We start from the raw sequence: 12,977 nt of genomic DNA on the forward strand, positions 1-12,977 counted from the left end.
TGGGTTCATGGGTGTTTATTATGTTTCAGTAAAAAATCTGTCTTAAATATTACAATAAAATCTTTTATTACATACAATCTTTTATCAAGTAGGTTACACTGTTTTCTGCTATTTTCTTGTACGAACGAATATTGACTATATCCTTTCTCATCATTTCCCTTTTTCTACTAGATAATTCCCATCAACATAAAAACATGCCTTCATCATTTTCCTCTTCAGCTTTGACCATTTTCTCTGCTTCCCTTTATTGCCAAGCTCTTTAAAAGAGTTGCCTATACCTGCCACCTCTAATTTCCCTCTTCCAAATCTCTTTTTAATATACTTGAACCAGGCTTTCATCCCCACCACTCTACTGAAATGACTTGTGTTAAAGTCCCCAATGACATGCTGTTAAATCCAAAATCATCTCTCAGCCTCGGCTCAACCTATCAGCAGCCTTTGACCCTGTTGATCACTTTCACATGCTTGAAACATTTTCTTTCCTTGGATTCCAGGACATTAGACTCTTGGTTTTTCTCCTTCCTCATTGGCTGTTCTTTCTCAGTCTCTTTTGCTTGTTCTTCCTCCTCTCCCTGGCACTTTAATCTTGGAGTGCCCTAGGATTTACACTTGGACTTCTCTATCTACATGCACTCTCTTTTTTATCTCATCCAGTTTCATGTTTTGGATACTACATTTATGTCTTCAGCCCTAATCCTTCCCTAAATACCACATTAGAACATCCAACTGTTTACTCTGCACCACTGGATGTCTATTAGGCTTCTCAGGCTTAATACACCCCAACTGCACTCTAAGATTCCTCTCCAAACCAGTTCCTCCAGGCTTCCTCATAGAGGCTAAAAACCTTGGCATTATCCTTGGCTGCTTTTTCTCTCACACCTTAAATCCAATCAGAGCAAATGCTATTGGCTGTATCTCCAAAAGTCATTCAGAATTGGAGCACTTCTCTCCACTTCCATCACCTTGGTCCAAGCAAACTTCATCTCTTACCCGGACCACTACAATGGCTTCCTAACCTGTCTCCCTGTTTCCGCCCTTCCCTTCCAGGGGTCTGTTCTCATCACAGCTGCAGGATCGAATTACTGAAAACCTAAGACTGATCATGTCATTCCTCTGTTTAGAACCCTCAGTGGCTCCCACCTTATGCAAGTAAAAGTCAAAATAACCCACAGGCCCTTAAACTCTCTGAACCCATCATTTTCTCTTTTCTCCTTCATCACTTCCCTCCAGCCATGCTGGCCATCTTATTATCCCTCAGAAAGGCCAGACCCTCTCCTGCCTCAAGACTTGTGCACTTGCATTTCATCTGCCTGGAACATGATTTCCTCAGGTATCCACAGGGTTCATTCCTTAGCACCTTCGGTTTTGTATCCAAATGTGACCTTCTAAGGGAGTCTTATCTGACTCTTTTAAGTTGAACACCAATATCCCTTCCAACTCCTCCCTTGCTTTATAATCATTACATACTATGTATTTTTAAATTTTTGTTTTATTGATTTCTCTATATTTTTTCACTGGAGTGCATGCGATTCTGTTTGTTTTAGTCACCGCTGTATTTCGAGAGCCTCGAACAGAACTGTGCACATAATGGGTACCATAAATATTTGTTTACTGAATTAAATTCTCCTTTTTTTTCTCTCCTTCCACCTTGTTTCCCCTTCCTTCCTTAAGAGGGCCTTCTGAAAAATGATACTTTAGTGTCCATTCAGCTTTGCATGTTCAGTATCTTAGGGACTAAAGTTCTATCTGGCCAAGTAACCATAGGTCTGGCACCAGAGAGTGGGAATCCTGACGGTCTTCTTACCATCTCAGCCTTATAATAAATATCAACTGTCTCATACTATCTCTGAGCTCAGAGAGTCAGTTCTCCCTATCCTATGTGGCTTATATTGTGGGTCACTTTCCCCAGATCTTAAATGTGCCATTTCATAGGAGGAAACGAGAGTGACCCTGTCCCACCTGCTGCTTGGATCATGGTGAGGCTGGGGCTGAGCAGTGATGATGGGTACACCATACTCAGGTTCAGCACAATTCTGTGATTTAGCTGTGGGGTGTGGTTGTTAGACTCCCCGTGGAGCCAGTCAACCCTGTGTACATAAACTCCTTTCACATATACATTTGTTTTCTTTTGCTGCATTGCAAATTACCACATACTTAGCAGCTTAAAACAACACAGATTTCTGATCTCAGTTTCCACAGGGCAGGAGTCTGAGTGGGTTAGCTGGGTCCTCCGCTAAGGGTCTTGCCCAGCTAAAATCCAAGTGTTGGCTAGGGCTGTGCTCTCATATGAGCCTTAGGGTCCTCTTCCATATTCATTGGTTGTTGACAAAATTCAGTTCCTTGGGGATGTAGGACTGAAGTCCCTATTTTCTTGCTGGATTTTGGTCAGGGATTGTTCTCAACTCATAGAAGCCACTTTCACGTCGTAGTTCCATGGCCCTGGAATGGCAGTTTACGACACTGATGTTTGCTTTCTTCCAGGCCAGCAGAGGCACCTGTTGTTGTTTCTTTTGTCTGTTTTTTAAGGCTTACTGGATTAGGTCAGATCCACCCAGGATAACCTCCCTTTTGACTAACTCAAAGTCAACTGATTAGGGACCTTAATTACATCTGAAAGTTCTCTTTTGCCACAGAATATTAATCACAGGAATGAAATCTCCTCATATTCATAGGTCTCACCCAGACTTACAGCGATGATGAGATTATACAGGGCATGTACACCAGGGGGTGGAAATGTTGGAGGCCATCTTAGAATCCTGCCTACCACAATATGCCTCTTTATGAAAGAAACTGATGGGAAGGTCCGTTACCTCTCTTCAGAGTTGAAACCATTGAGACGACAAGCACAGCTACTCATTGTGGTTCTGGATCCCCTCCTCTTCCTGCTACCTCTGTGTGTAGTCTTTTTCTAGAACCTAGGAGAGCAACACCTCCTATAACCACTCAATTATGAGAAACAAACCACAAAATTCCACATAAATGAAAATGTCTACCTAATCAAAGTCTACTTCTTTAAGGATTTGAGTGATTGGGGTGGGGGGAAAGGAGAATATTTGTCACTGGGAGGCAGGGTGAGTTGTGTGGACACGGTTCCTTCCTTCTTGACACCTGTGTCTTCTGTGGCTGCCCTGATTCTACTTAGGACTCCCCTAGGCTGTATGGCATCTTCACATACATTAGAAAAAGGTGGTCGCTCAGGGGCAGACATACCCCCTTGGGCATATGGCCTGACAAGTAGGGTAGGAGCTGAACTTCAGCCCACTCTCACCCCTCAGAAAACTGCCTGGTTTTCCTGCCTCCAGAGCCTTCTATTTCTGTTCCACATTATTCATCTTCTAAATATGCACAACACTCCCTTGCTCCCCACCATCACACACACACACACAAAAAAAAAAAAAAATAGAGAGAGAAAAGAAAAGAAAACCTCCTCAGTCCTTGGTTTTCTCTCTGTCTTCCCTTCATGAGAATTCCTATCCTCCTAAGGATAGAAGTTTTCCAGCTAGCTGTCTGCGTGGATGACTCAAATCTACACCTAAAGTCTCAACCTCCCTGCTCAACTCAGTCCCTTGTCCAAATGTCCTGGACCTCATTCAAACAAGTTCACAAAGGGCACATCATCTTCCCCAGGGCCAGCCTCAGACATTCATAGTGCTGTCAGTGGAGACATCCTCCTCCCTCTTACCCCACTACAAAGCTAAGAATCACCCTTAGCCACTCCCCTCTGCCTCTCCTCACACAGCCCATATGCTTCTCACCTACAGGTACCGTGCCTTTGTCCATTTCTTGCCAGTGTCACTGCTCCACACTGATCTAAGCCCTTAGCATCTTACATTCACCCTGTGTTTCAGTGGTTTTCTGATCACGGTCTCCTCCGTTTCCTCTCCCAGTGGTTCTCAACTTGGGGGTAGTTTTGCATTTCTAGGGTACATGTGGCAATGTGTGATGACATTTTTGGTTATCACAAGTGGGAGTGTGATAATAGCCTGCTGTTAGCATATGGAGGGTAGGGGCCAGGGCTGCTGCTAAACATCCTACAAAAGAGAGGACAGTCCCCCCAACAAATAATTATCCTACCCCAAATGTCAGTTGTGCTGGGATAAAGAAACTCTGACCTATGTCAATTCCTCCAAGCTTCCTGAATGATATACCCTTACTCTTCTTAAGAAAATGCACTGTGCGCATATTGCCTCCTCACTGGAAAAACATTATTTCCCATTTCCTATATGCACATGTCTACTTCTGCTTAAGATGATCTCCCCCTTCCTTTTCTATGCCAATGTATCTTCCGTTTCTCTTAAGGCCCATAGCAAGCTCTCCAGCCTGTGTGCTGGGCTAGTCTCCATTTGTCCCGCTAGGTCCACTCTGTAGTCTTCTCTAACCTGGTATCTGCACAAGAATTGTATCTCCTGGGCTTCCTTGCTCTCTAGTAACTGGTTGGATTTGGCCTATTGGAGGTATCAGCAGGTGATCAGACATTGGGTACTTATTTCCCAGCTCCCAAACTGAGCTTCTTGCCTTGCCTCCATAGCCTCAGCTACTGTCTAGCACCTCATCTTCCATGGAATCAGTTCTCATGTGGCTCCAATATCATCATTTCCTCCCTTGCCCTTTCAGGTCTAGGGGTGGTAATGGCTTCCCACAATTGCTAGTCCCTAAGTTCACCACTGTGATTGATTTGCTCAACTCTGCCCATTCTTCAGTAAATATTTCCTTAGTTAAACTCTCTCTAGTATGCCATCTGCTTCCTGCTGGATCCTCAATGATGCTCAGTCACTTGAGGAGTTTCTCTTCTCTTGGATCTCATACAAAACTTACAGTTGGGACCATTCCTCTGTCATTCAGCATGTACACCTTGATATTGCTCTGATCCACTTACATCCAGTATTTTCATGGTTTCTAACCATGTTGCGAACTCCTGTGGGTCAGGGCTATTTAATACAACATTTCCACTCTCTTCACATAGTGTTGTGCTCAATCAATGTTTACCAATGAAAATTATAATAATATGCTGCATGAGGGACTCTAAGTAAAACTGGGGATTTCTCTACTGGCTTCCTTCCTTGAAACCTGTATTCCCTCCCTCCAAAGCCCTTTGCTGCGTTATGCTATGCCTCGTCTGCAGGGAGCAAATATTCTATGTGCTCCCTACATCTAAAGCCCGCTGCTGCATCAAACATGTGCTTCATAAATGCCTTTCTGTCCCACGATTCACTTCAATTAGTTTTTATTTAAATATTTAATGACGTAAAAAGTGATGTGTCTTCTTAGGGAATCTTGGTAAAGTACAGGGATGTAATCAAATGGCTTGCAAATTATACTTATTTATTTATAACTCTAATTTTAAAAGGACCAGAGTTATGAAATTATGAAAGGGATGTTCACATTTCACAGAAATGTTATCCTAAGGAATGAGGGACAATTATTCCTAGGAAAAGGGGCCAATGCCAGATCATTTCCTAGAGTTATTGCGTCTTATCCGTCAGTGTTGTAATGGTTTTTGTGGGAGCAATTTAAAAAGGTTTTTCTTCTGCTCTCTGCCAAATATGTCTCCATCTGCCTAATTCTGCTGTGAGGGTCTCCGTTTAACCTCAGGACTCTGGTTATTTTCATGCCAAAAATCTACACCCAAAGTCTGTTTCCTCTTTACCAGAATGATGAACGAGATGATTAGAGAGGAATAGTAGACATTTTGGTTCATAGTCCACCTTGATAATTTCATGGAAAGGCTTGGCAAATATGAAGCTGAAATATAGGCTAAGTGACGAGGGCCATGTTGTGATTTTTGTGGGCAGAAGGCACTTTGCCTTCTTGGACCTTTTCCTCCATTAAGAAAATGAAAAATCATATTTTATGACTGTTTTGGAATAATGGCAAATACATGAATATAATATGTTAAAACATCTTGTGTACCCCTAAGAGTATTTTGGTCCCTAGCTACTGTGTCTCCTGTGCCTAATGAATGAGTTGGCCCTGTTTGCGAGCAGTGGGAAAAGAATGTATCTTAACTCCTTTTTCAGGGTCTAAAGATACCAAGGTGCCAATCTGTTCTGAATGATGGCTGAGTTGGGAGGTTATAATCATAAATAAGGCAAATTCCTGTTCTTCCTCTGAGAGGCTTTGGAGGGCTTTGGAGGGGTGGGCAGCTATGGACCACAAAGCTTGGGCACCTCCCAAACATGGGCTGCTCATCTCTTCACCTTGTCCTAGAGTTGACATCACCTTCTCCATATGTGACAGATAGTGTTACAGTCTCTACTCTGGGAGGGTCCAGGGTGACCACTGTCCCCATTCCATAGATGGGGAGCCTCAAGCATGGTGAGATGAGCCTGGGTAACTTGCTCTTCTGCCTTGATTCAGATTCTAATGCCTTGCTGCTTTCTTGGCAGCAGGAAGGAAACATCTTTAAAATATTTTTTCTGACTATAAAAGTGATACTGGTTTATTATGAAATTTTGAAAAATATAAGAATTTGAGAGATTTTTAAAAAACTACTCCCTTGATCATACCTCCAGGAGCCAACCACTGCCAACTGCTTCATGAGGTTGTATAAATGGGTGCACCATACCATGGGTGGGATAGGACTATTTGACCTCCTGGGAGCCAGCCCAGGAGTGCCTGTCATTGCTGCTATTTCTGCCTGATGTCTCCCTCAACTGTAAAATGGCTGGATTTTGTAATATCCTCCCCTCAAATGCTTACAAGCTACAATGTTAACTGGAAAGGCAGATTGCAGAATTTTTATACAGTATGATCTCAGGTATGAAGAAACATGCATAAAAAATTGAGGAAAGTAATAGATAATTATGTCAACAGTGGTATTAGCTGTCCCTCAGCCATGGGAGCTCCTGTATGGGTGAGGAACAGCTTTTTGGGGGGATGGTTGCTTTCCAGCACCACACAACATCCCCCAGAAGGCAATTTTCTCATTTTCCTTTGAATACAATTGCCCCTGTTTGCAATCCTTAGAAGGGGGCAAGAGGAACCGTGATGCCTCCATGCCTGAACCTCAGACCTTTGGAGGTTGTTGTCCTCTTTCATCTCCTCTTCCCTGTGCCCACTCATGAAGCAGCAGTTTCTGCAGGTTCCTATTTGTATTCGAGGCTGGCAGTGGGTTTTCCTAGCTATCCTCTTGGGAACATGAATCTATTCTCTACATAAAAGCAAAGATACGATTAAAGCTACGCATCAGAGAGCAATGAAGGGAACTAACGACTCCACATTACCATGGAGAGGATGCTATAGAACAAGGTCAGTTTCTGCTAGGAGACTCTTCTTACTGTTGCCACAAATGCAGAAGAACAGCTCCTGGTGCCTCTGCAGCCACTCAAGCCTGGCTTATCCGAGAGTGACAGGCATCTGCAGACAAAATATTTTGTCTTCCTCAGCAGCTTGATCCAGTGTTTTACCATGTTTCCCTTAGCTCATACCTACATATTGCCTAGTAAAGTCATCATCCCATGTCTGTTTTCCCTGATGAAGACAAGACAGAGAACATTGGCCTGTGCATCTCCACAGGATAACCTTCCAAAACTTGATGCTGGGTTGCTTCTAAAGTGTCTATATCAAGCCCTGAATATTAGCATACTACCAGATTAAGGAACTTTGAGTCTAAGTGGTACATTCAATAATTTAATTCAACAACTATTTGTTTGAGCATCTGCTATGTGCTAAGCAGGAAAGAAATAGTCAAGGGGAACACAGTCTGCACCAGAAGTCATCAGCATGTGCTACATCAGATGCTGTGTTCAAAGATCCCACGTCCTCTTTTGGTTTTTAAAGTGAGCTTTGAAGTCAGATAAACTTGGGTCTAATTCATTTTTTGCCACTTACTTCTTCTGTTACCTAGGCTAAGCTACTCAACTTGCATGGGTCTCAGTTTTGTTGCCTACAAAGTAGGGATAATAATACGTATTTCACAAGTTGTAGAATAAATAAAATTATTTAAGGAAAAAACAATTCCTAAGGTGGAAGTTACTCTGTAAATGTTGCTCCTTCCTTCAGGTTTTATAATGATTTGCTTATGGGGACATCAGAGATATTGAGTATCATATAAAATTGGTTTTTAATTTGAAAATGTAAATTTTTACATGTATTGTTTACTTTGTGGATTAACTATAATTCCAGATTGGCTTCCACAAACTCAGGTTATGACTTATCATTTAATATGCCAGTAGTCATTTGTTTATCCAACAAATATTTAAATATCTTTTATGGCATAGTCAATGTATGTGTGGGGAATAAAAGCTGCCTTTGATATAAGCTTAGTCCAGACATGTTCAGGAAAGAAAATCTGCCATGAAGAAAATCCTGTATGGAAGGCATTTTCAGGACAGTAGAAGATGGGTTCAGAGAAGCAGGGCTACCAGCAGAGACACTCCTCAAATGCTAGCAGAAAAAAACCCTAACAAATGCCTGACTGCAGAAGAATCCTGGGAGCCTGGACTTGCCTCTCATTCTTGAATTGCATTTATTCTGGGAACTAAGCAGAGTGCTGTGTCAATCTGCTATGAGGGAGGCAGAATTATAAATAGAATATGTGCTACAAATAGAAAGTGAGATGAAAGATGGCATTTTTGGGCTTTCACGGCTTCCCCCCACCCCCCGCCCCCACCTCCTTCAGCAGAGGGAGAAGTCATCCAGTTTTGGTGAAGGCAAAAAATTCAGAAGCCATCATTCCAAGAGCAGTGGAAGGAAGGGAGGAAGGAGAAAGTATGAAAGTGGTGAAAAGTATAGAAGTGGGAAGAGTTGAGTGAGATGTGAATAGAGGGGTGGGAGGGTAAGCTGGCCTCCCGGGCAGATGAGAGGAAACCAAAGAGAAAAGCCCAGGGCTAGGACACAGAATGAAGATTTACCCAGCTGGAGAGAAACTTGAAATAACAAGATAGTAACAACACATGGCCAGACAGGGATTGGGTTGGAAAAGAATTAAAAAGCTTAAACCCTAAAAATGGAATTAGGTGGGAAGGCTAATGTGACTGTGAGATAAAAGACCCAGGCCTGATCAGTAACATTCCCAGGTAGCTCCATTTACCCTTTTCCCCAAAGCAGACCTTGACCTTCAGCTTTCAAGGTGAAACTTGGCCTTCACCTTTCAAGGCGAATATCTTCAAAGGTATTTTTGAATCTGTAATGAGGTGTCATTTCATCACGTATGGGGAAGGGTGTTCTACCTGTGGTTGAGGAAGCCTTAGTGGGAAAAAGTCTTGAAGTTGGAGGTGGGTTCTGGTCCCAGCATTGCCATCAACTAGATATGTGACCTCAAACAAGTCACCTGACTAGCCTCTGTGAGCTGGGTTTGGATATCATCTCTTCCATGAACTGCCTGTTTAATCTTGGTCTATTTACTTCCTTTATCTGTAGACTTTCACAGCTTTCTTCCCTTCAGCAGAGGGAGAAAAGCCATCCATCCAGTTTTGGTGGAGGCAAGAAATTCAGGAGCCATCATTCCAAGTTAAGTGAAAGGGAAGGAGGAAATAAAAAGTATGAAAGTGGTAAAAAGCATAGAGGTGGGAGTGCGATGTAAACAGAAGGGTGGGAGGGTAAGCTGGTTTCCTGGGGCTTCATAGCTAGTCTTCATTTTTTTTCAGATCTGCAAAATGATGGGTATTAGACTCTATGTTTTAAAAGCTGCTGCCTGATGTAAAGTTCTACACTTTAATACTTGAATGAATACTTAGGGTGAGAAAGAATAGTGACCCCCTAACTTAATTTGTTCTACAATAGGAAACAGCTGTCATGGAGGTCATTCAGCTGAGATGCTGGATGAATTGACAGCTTTAAGTCCTGCTATAGTCAGAATATGTCTCCTCTCCACCTGGCAGCGATCCATGCCTCCCACCATTGCTCTATTGCAGGGGTACCAACTTTGGATCTGTGCTGCTTGAGTGGGGGAGCTCCCACAGTGTTTGTTCATACAAGAGGGTTTTTAGCAGCTACCTACCCAGAATAATTTGGGAAGAAGGCCTATAGATGCCATAAAATGGAGGTTCCTCAAGGAATTCTCAGGGGAAATGTTACAATAGCACTCTGCCGAGGAGATGAGATGCACCTAGTTATTTTGTAAGTAGAAGGTGTGGAACTGCAGGTATGGTTCTGCTTTGTTGCCCCAAAGTGATCAAAGTTTTGCAGCCCAAACAAGGATTTGGGGAAGTCACAGCTCAGAGAACACCCAAGCACATCAACGTTCAAAAGTGTAGTATGAAGTGGTACTGTCCAAACTCATTAATCAGGAACAGCCACATGGTATATATAGGAACTTACATTCTTTTACCTTACAAATTACATTATCAATTCACCTTGATGCAATAATGTGTCCTCCCATTGGTCCTTGAGCTTTATTAAGATGGTTTCTTTGGCCAGAGTCCCTTTGAGGTCACCATAAAGAGAACCCAACTTACCTATGGAGATTCTATTGCTTCTGCTCTGTCTTCTACTCATCTATTTCTCAGCCCTAATGGAACTAGTATGCAAAACACTAGTAGGGAGATAATGTTGAATCTTGTCAGCCTTTATAACTTGATCTAGTAAGGTACTCCTCAAATAGCTCGGGTAATCTGTCCCAATGTAGTCCTGATTTTGCCCAATCAAATACACTTCTGAGAATAGATATGAATTCAGACACGGCCACTGGGTCACACTGTCTGGGGGGCATCAGTCTTGGAGGTTAGGAGTCCTGGCCAGGGAAACAGGAGACTCACTATCCTATCAAGGATTGTATACAGCACACCCATATCTGGGGATGAATGTGGGTCTTGGTCAGAAACCATCCTTGTGGGAAACCGAGGGCATTCCTAGTAGACAAAGTATCCTCTCTGCTGGGGGTATTTTGTCACAGTGACAAAGTGTGGTGTTTTGCAAAGCTGGTTGACTACCGTCACCTCTTAGAAGGGGTAAACCCATCATAAAGATTGATTGATGGCAGCGTCAGACTGACTATGGCTTATAATTGGAGCTCTGTTTGAGTTAGGGTCTTGTTCTCTAACTCAAACAGAAGTACAGCCCTGGACAGGTAGCATTAGCATCATCTGGAAGTTTGTGAAAAAGCAGGCTCAGGCCTCATGCCAATCCTACTGGATCAAAACTCCATTTGACAAGATTCCCAGGCAATTTGTATGTCCATTAAAGTTTAAAAGGCCCTGGGTTAGGGTGCTTCTTTTGAAAAGAACGTAAGTATCTCTTCTATAGGCCAGTCATTTACATTGTAATGAGATAGCTTAATCAGAATACTTCTCATTTATCCTTTAGCTAAAATATACCAGAATGGGAATCTTTTTTGCAAGGGAGGGATCACCAAACCCCCAACTCCTGACCGCTACTGTAACTTCAGCTTTTACCATGGGGATCTAGCACACAGTAGCATCAACATATCTTTTGTCATTTGGCTGAATAACTTCTTCACAATGAGAAAGAATACGTGGTTTTGTATTTTTCAGTATTTGACATATGCTCAGGTGTGGTGGGCAGAATAACAGACTACAAATGTCCATGTCCTAATCCCTAGAACCTGTGAATATGTTACCTTACAGGGCAAAGGGGAGTGGAGGTTGCAGATAAAATTAAGGTGGCTAAGCAGCTGATTTTAAGATAGAGAGAGTGTCCTGGGTGATCCAGGTGGGCCCCATATAATCACAAGTGTCCTGAAAAGTGAAAGAGGGAGGCAGAAGAGAAGGTCAGAGTCAGAGAAGGAGATGTGAGAAGGACTAGCACTGCCCCTGCTGGCTTTGAAGACAGAGGAGGAGGGCCATGAGTTGAGAAATGTGGGTGATTTCTAGAAGCTGGAACAGCCAAGGAAACTCTCCTAGAGCCCTCAGAAAAGAACGCAGTGCTACCAACACTTTGATTTTTGCCCAATAAGACATGTGGTAGACTTCTTACCTACAGAACTGTAGGACAATAAATTTATGTTGTTTTAAGCTATTAAGTGTGTAGTAATTTGTATGGCAACAATAGAAAACCCACAAAGCAAGAAACAGCTCATTTGTTTTGAATATGAAAAACAGACAAAAAGCTAGAATTACATCTAATTTTTTTCTTTTGTATATCTTTTGGAATTCAGGTGTACATGTTTGAGGTAATCCTGCTTCTCAGTTTGTGGAATATTATCATACTATCATCATAGAAGAACCAACCTTTTTATGAAAACATTTTTAAAGGTTTATTGTTTTTTCCACTTCATCTATCATTCCTAATTCCACTGCCCTCCTCCCATAGGCATCCACTCTAATACATTTAATATAGTTCTTCCAATCCATCCAACAGATGTTTATTTAGATATATAAGCGTCCCTACAAAAATATACAAGGCTGCCTTATGTGTGTGTTTGATACATAAATGGAATTGTGCTATAAATCCCATTCTGTTTTTGCTTTTTTTTTCTTAACTCCATTTTTGAGATCAATCCAGGTTTCTAAATGAAAATACAGTTCATTTTCCTATTGTGTACACATATTACATTTTGCCTGTACATTCCTTAGAGATGGACACCTAGGTTGTCTCCAGCAGGGTGGTGGTGAAGCTTGTTAGGAACATCTTGTGTTCCCTGGGAAGAATTTCCCCAGGTGTATACCCAGGAGTGGGCTTGGTGGATTTAAGGTGCACAATTGTCCCTCAGAATGGTGCACCTGCAGTGGGTGAGGGCTCTCTTTCCCCACCTCTTTGCCAATGCTTGGTAATATCTGACTTAAAAAGTGATATGCAATGGGCAACAACTAGCTGTGAAAGGAAATGCTACATAGATGACTTAGTGGAAACCATGCTGTAAATGCAGAATGAGCAGGGAAAAGTTAAAAAAATAATTATTGAAGGAAGAGCGTCTTACCAGCAGGACAGATACGGCTGGGAAGAGGAAAGCCCTCCAGGCAAGAAGGTTGTGTGTGTGGCTCACCATTGAGTGGTCTTTATCACCAGTGAGATCACCCTTCTTCTGACTACAGCTATCTGGAACTCAGTCTAGTCTATTTCCAGCCTGAGGTTTTTGC

This window comes from Homo sapiens, chromosome 3, assembly GCF_000001405.40.
Source record: "Homo sapiens chromosome 3, GRCh38.p14 Primary Assembly".
NCBI classification, from domain to species: Eukaryota; Metazoa; Chordata; class Mammalia; order Primates; family Hominidae; genus Homo; species Homo sapiens.